This window comes from Homo sapiens, chromosome 4 (assembly GCF_000001405.40).
Source record: "Homo sapiens chromosome 4, GRCh38.p14 Primary Assembly".
Classification (NCBI taxonomy): domain Eukaryota; kingdom Metazoa; phylum Chordata; class Mammalia; order Primates; family Hominidae; genus Homo; species Homo sapiens.
In genome coordinates, this window is record NC_000004.12 from 91,653,334 (window position 1) to 91,670,717 (window position 17,384).

A 17,384-nucleotide genomic window follows, 5' to 3' on the forward strand; every position below is an offset into this window, starting at 1 on the left:
GTATCAGTTTTTATAGCAATATCATGATGTTAGGTTATTGTGATGGTTAATATTAGGTGTCAACTCGACTAAATTGAGGGATGCCTAGATGTCTGATAAAGTATTGTTTCTGAGTGTGTCTGTGAGGGTGCTGCCAGAGGAGATTGATGTTTGAATCCATGGACTGGAAGAGGAAAACCCACCCTCATTGTGGGTGGGCCCCATCTAATCTGCTGCCAGCGAGACTAGAACAAAGCAGACCAATGAAGGGACAAGAGGCTTGCTGGGTCTCTCACTCCCTCTCTTCTCCTGTGCTTGACGCTTGCTTCCTTTCTTTCTTCCCTTGGACATCAGACTCCAAGTATTTTGGCCTTTGGACTCGGGAACTTGTACCAGCAGCCTTTACAGTGCTCTTACATCTTCAGTCTCAGACTTAGGTTTGCACTATTGGATTCCCTGGTTTTCAGACTTGAAGTGAGCCAACGCTACTAGCTTCTCTCTTTACCCAGCTTGCAGACAGCCTATATTGGGTTTTCACCTTGTAATTGTGTGAGCCAATTCTCCCTAATAAACTCTCTTTCATATACACATATATCCTATTGGTTCTGTCTTTTTGGAGAACCCTGAATAAAATGCAGGGTTATTAGATATTTGTAGCACAGTGTCAAGTCAGGTAGTGTAATACCTCCAGCTTTGTTCTATTTGCTTTGTGTTGCTTTGGCTATTCATTTTGTGGTTCCATACAAATTTTAGCAATGATATTTAGCATGTTATTAGTATTTTGATAGTGTTTGCATTAAATTTACAGATTGCATCACATTGTATGGTCATTTTAACAATATTTATTCTTCCAATCATTGAGTGTGTAATTTTTTTTATTTGTTTGTGTCCTTTTTGATTTCTTTTGCCAGAGTTATGAGTTTTCTTTGTAGAAGTCTTTCCCCTCCTTGGTTAAATTTATTCCTAGGCATTTTATTTTATTTATTTAGCTATTGTAAATGGGGTTACTTTTTTATTTCTTTTTCAACTAGATCATTATTGGTGCATAGAAATGATATTGATTTTTGTATGTTGATTTTTTTCATTTCTATGCATTTATGGGATACAAGTGCAATTTTGTTACCTGCATGGATTGTGTAGTGGTCAAGTCAGGGCTTTTAAGGTACCCATCACCTGAAAAACATACATCATATCCAGTAAGTAGTTTCTCTTTGTTCACCTTCTTGCCACTCCCTGACCCTTGTGAGTCTTCATTGTCTATCATTCCACTTTCTATGTCCATGGGTATTTCATGTGCGTCCGTGTGAAGAGACCACCAAACAGGCTTTGTGTGAGCAACATGGCTGTTTATTTCACCTGGGTGCAGGCGGGCTGAGTCCGAAAAGAGAGTCAGTGAAGGGAGATAAGGGTGGGGCCGTTTTATAGGATTTGGGTAGGTAAAGGAAAATTACAGTCAAAGGGGGTTTGTTCTCTGGCGGGCAGGAGTGGGGGGTCACAAGGTGTTCAGTGGGGGTGCTTTTTGAGCCAGGATGAGCCAGGAAAAGGACTTTCACAAGGTAATGTCATCACTTAAGGCAAGGACCTGCCATTTACACTTCTTTTGTGGTGGAATGTCATCAGTTAAGGTGGGGCAGGGCATATTCACTTCTTTTGTGATTCTTCAGTAACTTCAGGCCATCTGGGCTTATATGTGCAAGTCACAGGGGATGCGATGGCTTGGCTTGGGCTCAGAGGCCTGACATTCCTGCCTTCTTATATTAATAAGAAAAATAAAACAAAATATTGTTGAAGTGTTGGGGCGGCGAAAGTTTTTGGGGGGTGGTATGGAGAGAGAATGGGCGATGTTTCTCAGGGCTGCTTCAAGCGGGATTAGGGGCAGTGTGGGAACCTAGAGTGGGAGAGATTAAGCTGAAGGGAGGTCTTGTGGTAAGGGGTGATATTGTGGGTATGTTAGAAGAAAGATTTGTCATATAGAATGATTAATGATGGGCTGGATATGGTTTTGGATGAATTGAGAAACTAAATGGAATAACAGAAGGAGAAAAACAGGTATAAAACGTCTAAGAATTGGGACGACTCAGGATATCTGATTAGAGAGTGCCTAAGGAGATTCGGCATAGTCCTGCCAGCAAAGATTATTTATTTACTTCAAGAGTTAAGAGTGGCAGTTTGGGGATAGCACCAGGAGATATCAGCTGTGATGGCTTGGAAAAACAGTGTAAACCAGCAGTGTAAACAAGAGCAGGGCATGTATGAGTAGTTGAGAATGATGAATAGGAGTATGACTAGACAGAAGATAGTAGGGATGACAAGTTTTTTGGGGCATAGTCTAAGTTGGTCTGGTGTCTGGAATGAGACTGGGGCCTAATAAAAAGGAGCATCTATACAGGAGCTTAAATGGGATGTACCCTGTAGCATTCCAAAGACAGGTCTGAATTCTGAAAAGGGCAAGTGGTAAAAGTATTGTCCAGTCCTTTTTAAGTTGGTGGCTGAGCTTGGTGAGGTGTGTTTTTAAAAGACCTTTAGTCCATTCTACTTTTCTTGAAGACGGAGGACCGTAAGGGATATAAAGGTTTCACTGAATACTAAGAGCCTGAAAAGCTGCTTGGCTGATTTGACTAATAAAGGCTCATCTGTTATCAGACTGTATTGAGGTGGGAAGGCTAAAGTGAGGAATTATGTCTGACAGAAGGGAAGAAATGACTGTGGTGGCCTTCTCAGACCCTGTAGGAAAGGCCTCTACCTATCCAGTGAAAGTGTCTACCTAGACTAAGAGGTATTTTAGTTATCTGACTCAGGGCATGTTGAGTAAAGCTAATTTGCCAGTCCTGGGTGGGGCAAATCCTTGAGCTTGATGTGTAGGGAAGGGAGGGGGCCTGAATAATCCCTGAGGGGTGGTAGAATAGCAGTTGGAACACTGAGAAGTGATTTCCTTGAGGATAGATTTCCACGGTGGAAAGGAAATTAGAGGTTCTGAGAGGTGGGCTAGTGGCTTGTACCATAGCATAACCTGCCTTTGTTGGTGTGTGGCGATTAGGCCTGGTGGAACCGCCATCAATAAATCAAGCGTGATCAGGGTGAGGAACAGGAAAGAAGGAAATTTGGGGAAATGGGGTGAATGTCAGTTAGATCAGAGAGATACAGTCATGGGGGTCAGGTGTGGTATCAGGAATAATGTGGGAGGCCGGACTGAAGTCCGGGCCAGGAACAATGGTAATTGTGGGAGACTCAACAAAGAGTGAGTATAGCTGAAGGAGCTGGGAAGCAGAAAGTATATGCATCAGGTGTGAGGAAGAAAATAGATTTTGGAAGTTATGAGAACTGTAGAGAGTGAGTTGAGCATAGTTTGTGATCTTGAAGGCCTCTAAAAGTATTAATGCAGCGGCAGCCGCTACACGCAGACATGAGGGCTAGGCTAAAACAGTAAGGTCAAGTTGTTTGGACAGAAAGGCTACAGGGTGTGGTCCTGGCTCTTGTGTAAGAATTCTGAGCATGCTAACCATGCCTAGGAAGCAAAGGAGTTGTTTTTTTATAGAAGGTGCTGGGGTTGAGAGACCAGTCGGACACGATTGGCAGGGAGAGCACGTGTATTTTTATGAGAATTATGCTGAGATAGGTAACAGATGAGGAAGAAATTTGGGCTTGATTGAAGTAATGGGGGCTGTCTGTGAAGCTTTGCGGCAGTACAGCCTAGGTAATTTGCTGAGCTTGATGGGCGTCAGGGTCAGTGCAAGTGAAAGTGAAGAGAGGCTGGGATTAAGGGTGCAAAAGAATAGTAAAGAAAGCATGTTTGAGATCTAGAACAGAATAATGGGTTATAGAAGAAGGTATTGAGGATAGGAGAGTATATGGGTTTGGCACCATGGGGTGGATAGGCAAAACAATTTGGTTGATAAGGCGCAGATCCTGAACTAACTTGTAAGGCTTGTCTGGTTTTAGGACAGGTAAAATGGGGGAATTGTAAGGAAAGTTTATAGGCTTTAAAGGCCATGCTGTAGCAGGTGAGTGATAACAGGCTTTAATCTTTTTAAAGCGTGCTGCAGGATGGGATATTGGGTTTGAGTGTGGTAAGGGTGATTAGGTTTTAACGAGATGGTAAGGGGTGCATGATCGGTCACCAAGGAGGGAGTAGAGGTATCTTATACTTGTGGGTTAAGGTGGGGGGGATACAAGAGGAGGATGCAAAGGAGGCTTTGGATTGGGAAGAAGGGAGGCAATGAGATACAGCTGTAGTCCAGGAATAGTCAGGGAAGCAGATAATTTAGTTAAAGTGTCTCAGCCTAATAAGGGAACTGGGCAGGTGGGGATAACTAAAAAGGAGTGCTTAAAAGAGTATTGTCTAAGTTGGCACCAGAGTTGGGGAGTTGTAAGAGGTTTAGAAGCCTGGCCGTCAATACCCACAACAGTTATGGAGGCAAGGGAAACAGGCCCTTGAAAAGAAGGTAATGTACAGTGGGTAGCCTCTGTATTGATTAAGAAGGGGATGGGCTTACCTTCCACTGTGAGAGTTACCAGAAGCTTGGCGTCCCTGATGGTCTAGGGGTCTTCCGAGGTGATCGGGCAGTGTCAGTCTTCAGCCGCTAAGCTGAGAAGATCTGGGAAGGAGTCAGTCAGAGAGCCTTGGGCCAGAGTTCCAGGGGCTCTGGGAGTGGCTGCCAGGTGAGTTGAACAGTCCGATTTTCAGTGGGGTCCCACAGAGATGGGAAGCGGCTTAGGAGGAATCCTGGGCTGCAGGCATTCCTTGGCCCAGTGGCCAGATTTCTGGCACTTGTAGCAAGCTCCTGGGGGAGGAGGTTCTGAAGGAATGCCTGGCCACTGCGGTTCAGGTGTTTGGAAGTTCTTGTGTGCTGGAGATGTAGCTGGGGTTTGTCTCATAGTGGAGGCAAGGAATTGTAACCTTTTTCTATTAGTGTACACCTTGAAGGCGAGGTTAATTAAATCCTGTTGTGGGGTTTGAGGGCTGGAATTTAATTTTTGGAGTTTTATTTAATGTTGGGTGCAGATTGGGTAATAAAATATATATTGAGAATAAGACGGCCTTTTGACTTTTTAGGGTCTAGGGCTGTAAAGCGTCTCAGGGTTGCTGCCAAACAAGTCATGAACTGGGCTGGATTTTTATATTTGATGAAAAAGAGCCTAAACCCTGTCTGATTTGGGATAAAGAAAAAGGAGCATTAACCTTGACTATGCCTTTGGCTCCAGCCACCTTTTTAAGAGTAAATTGCTGGGCAGGTGGGGGAGGGCTAGTCACGGAACGAAACTGTAAGCCGGACCAGGTGTGAGGAGGGGAGGTGATAAAAAGATTATAGGGTGGAGGAGCGGAGGCTGAGGAAGAATTAGGACCTAACTCGGCCTGTTGAGGAACAGCCTGGGGAGGAAGGGAGAGGTCAGATGGGTCTGTAGAAAAGGAAGATTAGAAAGACTCAGTGAGGCTCGGAGTTGGTACTGGGGGGACAGGCGGGAGGGAAAGAAGGAAGATTTGGGACGAGTTGCACTGGGCACAGAGACTAGGAAGGGGCTGATGTGTAAAAGAATGCCTGGACATAAGGCACCTCAGACCATTTGCCTATTTTACGACAAGAATTATTTAGATTTTGCAGGATGGAAAAATTCAAAGTGCCATTTTCTGGCTATTTGGAACTACTGTTGAGTTTGTATTGGGGTCAGGCAGCATTGCAGAAGAAAATAAGGCATTTAGGTTTTAGGTCAGGTGTGAGTTGAAGAGGTTTTAAGTTTTTGAGAACACAAGCCAAGGGAGTAGAAGGAGGAATGGAGGGTGGAAGCTTGCCCATAGTGAAGGAAGCAAGCCTAGAGAAAAGAGAGAGTAGAGAAACGGAGGGAAGGGGTTCGGGGGTTCTTACCTTCCAGAAAAGTGGGAAAAGGGGTTGGGGCACAGAGATAAGAGGTTGGGGTGCAGAAATAAGGGATTGGGGTGCAGAAATATGAGGTTGGGGTGCAGAAATAAGGGACTGGGGCACAGAGATATGAGGTTGGGGCATGGAAATAAGGGATTGGGATACAGAGATAAGAGGTCAGGGTGCGGAAATAAGGGATTGGGGCACAGAGATAAGAGGTTGGGGTGCAGAAATAAGGGATTGGGACACAGAGATAAGAGGTTGGGGCGTGGAAATAAGGGATTGGGGGTTCTTGCCCTGTAGAAAAGCAGGACTTGCTGCTAACAGTGAAGGAGAAGGGGTTGAGGGGTACTTGTTCCTGCCCCAGAAAAGTGGGACTTGCCGCTAAGGGTGAAGGAGAAGGGGTTGAGGTGTACTTGCCCCTCTCCCAGAAAAGCAGAGGAGGGGTAGAGACAAGGAGAGAAGCGGTTGGGGTACTTGCCACTTCCCCAGAAAAGCAGGACTTGCCGCTAAGGGTGAAGGACCAAGGCAGGCCTCCCTGCATGGTCTGACATCCTTGAAAGGTGGGTGTATAATCAGAGAGGTGTCCCTGCAATGATTAAACACCAAGGGAAGGCTGCCTTTCCAGTCCGTGACTGGCACCGGAGTTTTGTGTCCACGGATAAAACATGTCTTCTTTGTCTCTCCCAGAAAATGAAAGGAATTGAAATTAAGAGAAGGGAGAGATTGAAGAGTGGAAAGGAGAAAGTGGTTGACGGACAGTGAGAGAGGTTGGAGAAGAGAGTAAGAAGAGGCCGCTTACCTGATTTAAAATTGGTGAGATGTTCCTTGGGCTAGCTGGTCTGAGGACCTGAGGTCATAGGTGGATCTTTCTCATGGAGCACAGAACAGGAGGACAGGGGATTGATCTCCCAAGGGAGGTCCCCTGATCCGAGTCATGGCACCAAATTTCCTGCGCGTCCGTGTGAAGAGACCGCCAAACAGGCTTTGTGTGAGCAACATGGCTGTTTATTTCACCTGGGTGCAGGCGGGCTGAGTCCGAAAAGAGAGTCAGCAAAGGGAAATAAGGGTGGGGCCGTTTTATAGGATTTGGGTAGGTAAAGGAAAATTACAGTCAAAGGGGGTTTGTTCTCTGGTGGGCAGGAGTGGGGGTTGCAAGGTGCTCAGTGGGGGTGCTTTTTGAGCCAGGATGAGCCAGGAAAAGGACTTTCACAAGGTAATGTCATCACTTAAGGCAAGGACCGGCCATTTACACTTCTTTTGTGGTGGAATGTCATCAGTTAAGGTGGGGCAGGACATATTCACTTCTTTTGTGATTCTTCAGTTACTTCAGGCCATCTGGGCTTATATGTGCAAGTCACAGGGCATGCGATGGCTTGGCTTGGGCTCAGAGGCCTGACAGTGTACACACTTTTTAGCACTGACTTCTGAGTGAGAACATGTGATATTCCATTTTCTATGTCTGGCTTGTTTCACTTAAGATGATGCCCTCCAGTTTTATCCATGTTGCTGCAAAAGATGTGATTTTATCCTCTTTATGAATGGAATACTAAACAGTATTCCATTGTGCATATATCCCACATTTGCTTTATCTAATCACCTGTTGATGGACACGTAGTTTGAGTCTATATTTTTATCATGAATAATGCTGCAATAAACATACTAGTCTTGGTATCTTTTTGACAAAGATTCCTTTTCTTTTGAGTAGGTATCTACTGGTGAATTTGCTAGATTGAATGGTTGTTCTACTTTTAGTTCTTTGGGAAATCTTCATACTTATTTCCATAGAGGTTGGACTAATTTACATTCCCAAAAACAATGCATAAGAGCTCCCTTTTCTCCACATACTAATCAACATCTGTTATTTTTTGTCCTTTAGTAATAGCCATTGTAACTGAGGTAAGATGATATCTCATTGTGGTTTTAATTTGCATTTCTTGGATGATTTATGATGTTGATCATTTTTCATATACCTGTTGGTCATTTGTATGTCTTATTTTGAAAAATGTCTACTAGTGTATTTTGCTCACTTTTTAATTGGATTATTTTTGTTGTTGAGTTGTTTTATTTCCTTGTATATTCTGGATATTAGTCCACTGTTAGATAAATAGTTTGCAAATATTATCTCCCATTCTGCAGGTTGTCTGTTCACACTGTTAATTATTTCTTTTGCTATGCAGTAGTATTTTTGTGTATTTTTTATTTTTATTGTCTGTACTTTTGAGGTTTTAGTCGTAAATTCTTTGCCCAGGCCAAAGTCCAGAAGAGTTTAACCTAGGTTTTCTTCTAGTGCTTTCAGTTTGGGGTCTTACCTTTATGTCTCTAATCTATCTTGGGTTGATTTTTGTGAATGGTGAATGATAGGAGTTCAGTTTCATTCTTCTGCATATGGCAATCCAGTTATCCTAGCATCATTTATTGGAAAGGTTGTTCCTTCCTCAATGTATGTTCTTGTTGGTTTATCAAAGATCAAATGGTTGTACATATGTGGCTTTATTTCTGGTTTCTTCATTTGGTTCTATTGATCTATATGTCTATTTTTATACTAGTACCATGCTAGTACCAAGTCAGAACAAAGCTGGAGGCATCATATGTTCTGACTTCAAATTATACTACAAGGGTACTACAATTATACTACAAGGCTACATAGAATAATTTGAAGTCAGAACATGTGATGCCTCCAGTTTTGTTCTTTTATACTTAGGATTGCTTTGGCTATTTGGGCTCTATTTTCATTCCACACCAATCTTAGGAATTTTTTTTTTTAATTCTGTGAAAAGTGACATTTTTATTTTGATAGGGATCATACTGACTCTGTAAATTGCTTTGGGAGGTATGGTCATTTTTATGACATTAATTCTTCGGATTCATGTACATGGGATGTTTTTCCATATGTTTGCATCATCTACAATTTCTTTTATCAGTGTTTTGTAGCTTTTCTAGTAGAGATCTTTCACCTCCATGGTTAAGTTTATTCCTAGGTATTTTTTTTTCTAGTTATTGTAAATGGAATTGCCTTTTCAATTTCATTCTCAGGTGGATTGCTTTTAGTATAAAGATATGCTCCTGAGTTTTGTATATTCAATTTGCCTCCTGTAACTTTACTAAATTTATTTATCAAATCCAAGAACTTTTTTGGTAGTGTCTTCAGGTTTTTCTAGATAGAAGATCAGCAAACATGGATAATTTGACTTCCTCTTTTACAATTTGAATGCCTTTTCTTTCTTTCTCTTGCCTGGTTGCTCCAGCTAGGACTTCTTTAACTCTCAGTTTTCCATAGAGATATCTGCTGTTAGTCTGTTGGGTATTCTGTTACATGTTACTTGACATTTATTTTTTGCTGTTTTTAAAATTCTTTGTCTTTGATTTTTGACAGTTTCACTGTAATATGCCTCAAAGAAGACCTATTTGAATTGCATCTATTTGGGAATCTTTAAATTTCCTGTAACTTATTACCTACATCTCTTATAAGACTGAGAAATTTTAGCTATTATTTCACTAAATAGTTTTTCTATGCCTTTGGAAAAATCCCTGCTCCTTCTGAATCTCTCAGAATTCAAATATTTATTCACTTGATCCTGTCCCATATGAACATAGAGTTTTTCTTTTTCTTTTTTTTCTTGTGTAATTGGGTTATCTTAAAAGACCTGTCTTCAAGTACAGAATTTTTTTCTTCTGCTTGATCTAGTCTATTATTGAAGCTCTTAATTATCTTTTTTGTTTCATTCATTGAATTCTTCAGTCCCAAGATTTCTGTTTGATTTGATTTCTGTTTTATAATATATATCTTTTTGTTCAGGTATTGCATAGATTTCCTTTACTTTGGAATGTGTTACTGGAGAATTATTGTATTATTCGAAGGTGTCAGGTTTCCTTGCTCCTTCATGATTCTTATGTCCTTAATTGATATAATTGATATCAACACATTTGGTGTAATGGTTGTTTCTTCTAATTTTATGTACTGACTTTCACAGGGACATACTTTTTTCTGTAGATGTATCTACAGTGCCAGTTGGGTGGGGGTCTTTTGGCTTTGATTCTGGATGTGTGCAGTAATGTGATTTCTGTCATTTCTTTGGCTGTAATAAACTTTAGTGGTATCTGTTGAGGATGGGGATGTCAGGTGGCCAGTCCTTAGGTCCCCAGGTGGCACTCTTGGGTTGGTGTCAGTGGCAGCAGCAGCAGGCTGAGTGGTCTAGTTCCCAGGCCTCCCAAAGTTGTGTGCAGACACTGGAGGTGGCAGCAAGAGTGGTGGGTCTATCCTTAGGTTCCTGAAGGTGCTACTGTTGGCCAATAGGGCCTGCTGAACCTTAGTGCCCAGGATCTTATGCCCACAGTATGTGGCCTATGTGCAGCATAGGCTGCATTGATGACACTTCTGTTCTCAGGTACTCAGGCAGTGTGCATGAGTATTGTTTGTGGTGGTGGGTAGGATGGGCCAGTCTTCAGGCCCCCAAAAGGCACATGCAGGTGCATGGTGGCCCTACCACTGGAGGAGACAGCGTTGTTGTCAGTGAGAGCATTTCCAGAGAGTTGGCTTCCATGCTCTTGGAAACATGTGTCACCTCCCTTTGTCCTACAGGCAGCATTCCTGTTGCACTGAACCTCATGTTGCTCTGATTGTAGGACACTACATGGGCTAGATTGCTGGGTTCTTAGCTGTACCTCCACTAGGTCCAGCCAATATTGTGATGCTGCAACACTCTGGGTGGTTGTCAGTGCAGCTTCCAGAATGTGGAGTTGCAGGGGTTATTAGGATGTAATCTGGTGGGACCTGGGCTCTCAAAATGGCACCATGTTGCAGCAGTTTGGATCTCAGTCGCAGTGTGGGATGTAGAGTGAATTCTCTCTCAGGAACAATGCAGTCACATTTACTCTAAGCTACTTCTTATACTAGGATTAGGGCCTATGGTAGCCAAGGTGCTCTCCTGTGGCTAAATTGCAGGCATTTGTGATACAAGTGTGGACTGCTGGGGAGCTCTTGCTTCCCTTTTCGCCAAAACAAGGAGACTCTCCTGGCTATAAACTCATCTCAGCTGGTCCAGCTGCTTAAGTCTCCTATTTTTCTGTGCCTGTGATGGTCCCTGTCTCTCCTTGATGAATTCCAGCATTGTTTCTAATGCTCTAATTGATATATGCTTATCTACTCAGCATTTTGGTCCTTCTTTGTGCACACACTGATTTTTTTAACACTTTTATTGAAATATTATTTTCAAAAATGATATTTACCATTTTAAGGTGTATGATTTGGTGGTTCATATAAATGAAATCCTGTAATATGTGGGTTTTTCTTCTGACCTCTTTTACTAAGCATAACTTTTACAAGGTTTATTCATGATGTAGCAAGTATTAGTACTTCATTCTCTTTTTGTGGGTAGATAACATTTCATAGTCTGGCTATGCCACATCTGTATATCAAGGGGTCAGCTGATGAACATTTAAGTCCCACTTTGACTATTATGACTAATGCTGCTATGAATTTTCATGTACAAGTTTTTGTCTGGACATATATTTTCATTTATCTTCTTTGGGTATGTAATTAGAAGTGGAATTGTTGGGTCATATGGAAATTCAATGTTTAGCTTTTTGACCAACTGCCAAACTGTTTTGTAAAGTGCCTGTACTATTTTACAATCTGACCAGCAATGAATAAGTGTTCTAATTTTCCCACATCCTTGTCAATACATGTTATTTTATATCTTTTTATTTTAGCCATTCTAGTGAGTGTGAAGTGGTATCTCATTGTAGTTTTGGTTTGTGGACCCCTAATATCTGATTATACTGAGCATTTTATCAATGCTTATTGGCTACTTTTATATCTCTTTTGGAGAAATATCTATTCTAATCCTTTGCCAATTAAAAAAATCAGGTTGTCTGCCTTTTTACATTTGAGTTGTAAGTGTCCTTTATATATTCTGAATGTTAGTCCCATTTTTGACCAACTGCCAAACTGTTTTGTAAAGTGCCTGTACCATTTTACAGATATATGATTTAGAGATACATGATTTAAGATATGATGATAAGATATATGATTTAGAAGTATTTTCACCCATTCCATCATTTGTCTTTTTACTTTATTGATGATGTTCTTTGTAGCAAAAAATATTTTTATATTATGAAATCAAATTTATCTATTTTTTTCTTGATATGCTTTCTTGTCTTGTCTAAGAAAACATTGCCTAACCTAAGGTCATGATAATTTACACCTACATTTTTTTTCTAAGAGTTATATGGTTTTACATTTTACTTTTATAACTATAGTCCATTTTTAGTTAATCTTTGTGAATGGTGTGAGTTAGAGGTTTAACTTTATACTTTTGCACATGGACATCCAGTTGTTCCAGCACTACTTTTGAAAAGAATATTTCTTCCTCATTGAATTTTCCTGATGATTTATCGAGTATAATTTTAGCATAAAAGTCATGATTTGTTTCTAGAATGTCAGTTATAGTCCATTGATCTTCATGTCTGTCCTGTGGCAGTACTATAGTGTGTCTTTTCTACTGAAGATTTGTAGTAGGTTTTGAAATTGGGAAGTCCAATTCAATTGTGAGTCCCTCAAATTTGCTCTTCTTTGTCAGGATTATTTTGGCTATTCAGGGTCCCTTGAATTTTTATATAACTAATAAAATCAGCTTTTCAATTTTTGTAAGAAAGAAGTCTTAGAGTTTCATAATGATTAACTCGAAACTGTCTATGAATTTGAGGATCACTGTTATTTTAATATTAAGTATTTTATATGAATATGGGTTGCTATTCCTCTCATTCCATTAATTTTGTTTTTAAATTTATTTCTACATGATTTTATAGTTTTCAAAAATATTCAACAACATTTCAATAAATTTTATAGTTTTCATTATATAAAACTTCTAAATTTATTCTTAAGCATTAAATATTTTGAAAGTATTGTAAATTTAATTGTTAATTTTATTTTTGGATTTTTATTGCTAAAGTGCATAAATAAGTTGATTTTTGCATATTGACCTAGTGTCCTACAACTTGCTGAACTTATTTATTAGTTCTAGTAGTCTCTTTTTTCCAGATTTTTAGGATTATCTATATGAAAGATCATGTCAATGTGACTAAAGGTGATTTTACTTCTTTCTTTCTGATGGTCTGCAGTACAATGTTGGATAAAAGTAATGAGAATAGATAACTTTGTCCTGTTCTTGATCTTGGAAGGAAAACATCCAATCTTTTACCATTAAATAAATTGTTACCTGTAGGTTCTTTGTTGAAGCCCCTTATCAGGTTGGAGTAGTTCCTTTTTGTTCTTACTATTATGTATGTCCATCATAAAAGGGAAGCCATTATCCTTAGCAAACTAACACAGGAACAGAAAACCAAATACTGCATGTATTAAGCCTATTAACCTAATGGATACCTAATGGGTACTAAGCTTAATACCTGGGTGATAAAATAATCTGTACACTAAACCCCCATGGCACACGTTTACCTATGAAGCAAACCTACACTTGTAACCTTGAACTTAAAATAAAAGTTAAAAAAAGAAAATATATCAAATGTATTTTCTGCATCTTTTAAGGCCATGATATAGTTTTTCTTTTTTATTCTATTAATATGGCTAATTACATTAAGTGAATTTTTTACCATCCTTGCATTCCTGACAGTTTTCCTTCATATATTTTGAAGTCAAGCACATAGATATTTAGGGTTACTCTGTCTTCCTTCTGTCCTTCTTGATTTCTATAAATGTTCTTTGTTCTGAAATTTATTTGGCTATATCAATATACAGGAAGATTTATTATGATGAGTGTTTGAATAGACTATTTTTTCCATGCTTTTCCTTTTAACTATATTTTTATATTCATTATAAGTTGAGGTAAACATTTTTTAGTTTTCCAAAGAGGTGACAGAATTTATCTGGCTGTTCAGAGGAAGAAATGGCATTCTAGTTTGTAAAACTTTGTCTCTATGGTTTATAATTTTCATTGTTCTTGTAAATTTATGGCCTTAAAAACATCTTTACTATTATTTTAGCAAGATTTCAAGGAAGACTAGAAGTTAATACATGTGTAGAACTCAGAATCTTGCCAGCAATCCTCGTAGTTTTGGAAATCACTTAACCTTTAATGCCTTAAATTCCTCAGCTATGAAATGGTTAATAATAGTAGCTACTTCCCAAGACTGTTAGGATGAAATGGTAAATATATGCCCAGTACTCAGTGTCAGGCATGTAGTGTTATACAAATATTTCCATTAGCATCATTATAACAAAATTGCTTTTTTAAAAAGATACGTTTGTCTTCTTGAGCTAAGAAACCTCTTTCTGACATGTAAATATACTTAAATTTCAGACTTAAACACAGGTTTAGTATCTATATGTTAATATAGGCATTTTTCTGTAAATCTATGTTTTCATATTTGTTTCTGTGGTAGGCTTTGAAGTATTTAAGGATGGGACATTGGTTGTTGTTTCTGTAGTATCTGGTATAGTTCCTACCTTAGAGTAAGCTTTTAGAAAATAATTTTAAGGTGTATAATTACATACTTCTCAGTTGCTAGGGGGAACCATCTCCATGTCTACTTTGTCATTCTGGATAGGCTAAGTTTCCCCCAACAACAATGGCAAGTCACGTCTCATCCACTTAACAAGTCTACGTTAGGCCTGGCTGTGGCTGTCCTCCTGTGTCATTCTCTCTGTGGTGAACTAGGTGAACGAAGCAACCGCGATCTGGAACATTGCTGGAAATTGAGGGAAAAGAGATCATCACTCCAAATCACCTACTATCATTAAAGTTTCTTACTTGGAACTGAAACTTATCACTTCCACCAACACTTTATTTTCAAGGTTAAGTCACAAGGTCATTTCTGATATCAATGAGAAGGCATGTATAACTCTCCTGCAGGGAGAGGCAGAAAAAATATTCGAACAGATATACAGTCAGCCATTTCCACCAAACCCTGCTTTCTTACCATTGCTGGAAACTATGTATACTTTGTATTACTCCTAGGTATAACTAATCGCATTATACACAATGCTTTCTAAAGTGGTATATAATTTTGTCTTAAATATATTGTTTGAAATTTCAAATAGCAGTGGTAATACTAGTTCTACTATCTTTCAGTTTGATAGCACACCTAAATTCCTACAGACAAAATACTGCTTTATCAGTTTGCTCTTGTTTAGAGGCCCATTCATTTGTTTATCATTTTAGTTGCCTTCTTTAGACCTTTTCCTAGTTCTTATAATTTGTCAGAGTTACAGCATGAGAATTGCATAAACATTGCAAATGCAAAGAAGGACATGTTATTTGCTCCAAGATAGCAGAGATTTCTCCTAGCATATCTGATAACCTCTATGATTATGTTTATTAATTTTTTTCCTGTGGTAAGACAACTTAATATGAGATGTTCCCTTTTAAGTAATTTTTAAGGGTATAATATGATATTGTTGACAACAGGTACAATGTTGCGTAGCAGATCTCTAGAGCTTGTTCATCTTGCTTAACTGAATCTTTACGCCCATTAATTAATAACTCCCTTTTACTATAGCTCTGTTAATCACATAATTTTTCCATGTGGAAAATAAATCAGAGATTCTTAGAGCCTTACCTGGATTCCTATAAGATAGCATTGAACAAAATATCCTATAATATTTGTTCTTAGAAGGAAAATAAAAAGCTCTCAAGTGAAGTGTCATGCATTTTTCTATTGTGAGGTTCATTTATGTTATGTTATTTATTTATTTTTGTGATTAATGCTTTCTATGATTGAGTGAGGCAGTACATTTTTGTCCCTCTAAGCTGCTTTTATTGGATGGCTGTTGTACAGAAATAATAATTACTATTGGAACTGCATCTGCAGTTCTTCATCTAAAGAGAATTTAGGCAGAAGGCTTTCCTCTTCATTTTTTTTCTTAGTTTTTTATTATATTTTATTTTGTATCCTAACCCTCAGAGCCTGTAATGCTCTTCATTTTTAAAAAAAAAACAACTTTTTTTCTTCTAGATAGCCTTATATTATTTCGGTTTACCTTCTGTATTGTAATCATGTTTCCATTGATTCCTTAAGTGGTTAAGGTAGTTTTATTCAGCATGTGACATTTTATAATATATTTTTCTCACATTAGCTGTAGACCTTAGGCAAACTACTTAATCTCTTTGTGCCTCAGTTTCTTCTTTTGAAAAATGAGGATAGATAATACTTACCTCAGCATAAGTACAATGTTGAGTACATGGTAAATGCTCAATAAGTGTTAGCCATTATTTGTATTACCATTGAAACTTTAATTATTATTCCATAAGACATTTTTCTTTGTTCCTTCATGTATTAGTCCATTTTCATACTGCTATGAAGAAATACCCAAGACTGGGTAATTTATAAAGGAAAGAGGATTAATGGACTCACAGTTCCACATGGCTAGGGAGGCCTCACAATCATGGCAGAAGGCAAAGGAGGAGCAAAGGCACATCTTACATGGTGGCAGGCAAGAGAATGTGTGCAGGGGAGATGCCCTTTATAAAACCACTAGCTCTCATGAGACTTATTTACTATCATGAGAACACCATGGGAAAGAAACCTGTTCCTATGATTCAATTACCTCCCACTGGGCACTTCCCATGACATGTGGGGATTATGGGAGCTACAATTCAAGATGAGATTAGAATGAGGATACAGCCAAACCATATCATTCTGCTCCCAGCCCCTCTCAAGTCTCATACTCTCACATTTCAAAACCAATCATGCCTTCCCAACAGTCCCCCAAAGTCTTAACTCACTCTGGCAATAACTCAAAAGTCCAAGTCCAAGTTCTCATCTGAGAAAAGGCAAGTCCATAATCCAGTAGGGCAGTCTTTAGCCTTAAATTTCTAAAATTATCTCCTTGGACACTATGTCTCATGTACAAGTCATGCTGATGCAAGAGGTGAAAAATGAGGATAGATAATAATTATCTGAATATAAGTACCATATTGAGCATGGTTCCCACAGTCTAGAGCAGCTTCACCCCTATGGCTTTGCAGGGTACAGACCTTCTTCCAGCTGCTTTCACAGGCTGTTGTTGAGTGTCTGTAGCTTTTCCAGATGCACAGTGCAAGCTGTCAGTTGATCTACCATTCTGTGGTCTGAGGGACAGTGGCCCTCTTCTCACAGCTGAACTAGGCAGTGATCCAGTAGGGACTCTGTGTGGTGGCTTCAACCCCACATTTCTATTCTGCACTGCCCTAGCAGAGGTTCTCCATGATGGTTCCACCCCTGCAGCACACCTCTGCTTGGACATACAGGCATTTCTATACATCCTCTGAAATCTAGGTGAATGTTCTGAAAACTCAACTCTTGACTTCTGTACACCTACAGGCTCAACACAATGTGGAGCTGCCAAAGCTTGGGGCTTACACCCTCTGAAGCCATGGCCAGGGCTGTTTCTTGGCCCCTTTTAGCCACAGCTGGAGTGACTGGGATGCAGGGCACATGGCAAGGGCAGCCCTGGACCTGGCCCAGGAAACCATTTTTCCCTCCTAGGCCTTTGGGTCTGTGATGAGACGGGCTGCCGTGAAGGTCTCTGACATGCCCTGGAGACATTTTCCC

General features: G+C 39.6%; 2 annotated features.

Annotated features, from left to right (window-relative positions):
• Positions 6,372-6,894: an enhancer, noted in NCBI's record as "OCT4-NANOG-H3K27ac hESC enhancer chr4:92580856-92581378 (GRCh37/hg19 assembly coordinates)". NCBI's record gives its function as "activates a minimal SCP1, AML or CMV promoter by ChIP-STARR-seq in naive and primed H9 embryonic stem cells {active_cell/tissue: H9 hESC(naive and primed)}" and the evidence as "EXISTENCE:reporter gene assay evidence [ECO:0000049][PMID:30033119]".
• Positions 6,895-7,417: an enhancer, noted in NCBI's record as "OCT4-NANOG-H3K27ac hESC enhancer chr4:92581379-92581901 (GRCh37/hg19 assembly coordinates)". NCBI's record gives its function as "activates a minimal SCP1, AML or CMV promoter by ChIP-STARR-seq in naive and primed H9 embryonic stem cells {active_cell/tissue: H9 hESC(naive and primed)}" and the evidence as "EXISTENCE:reporter gene assay evidence [ECO:0000049][PMID:30033119]".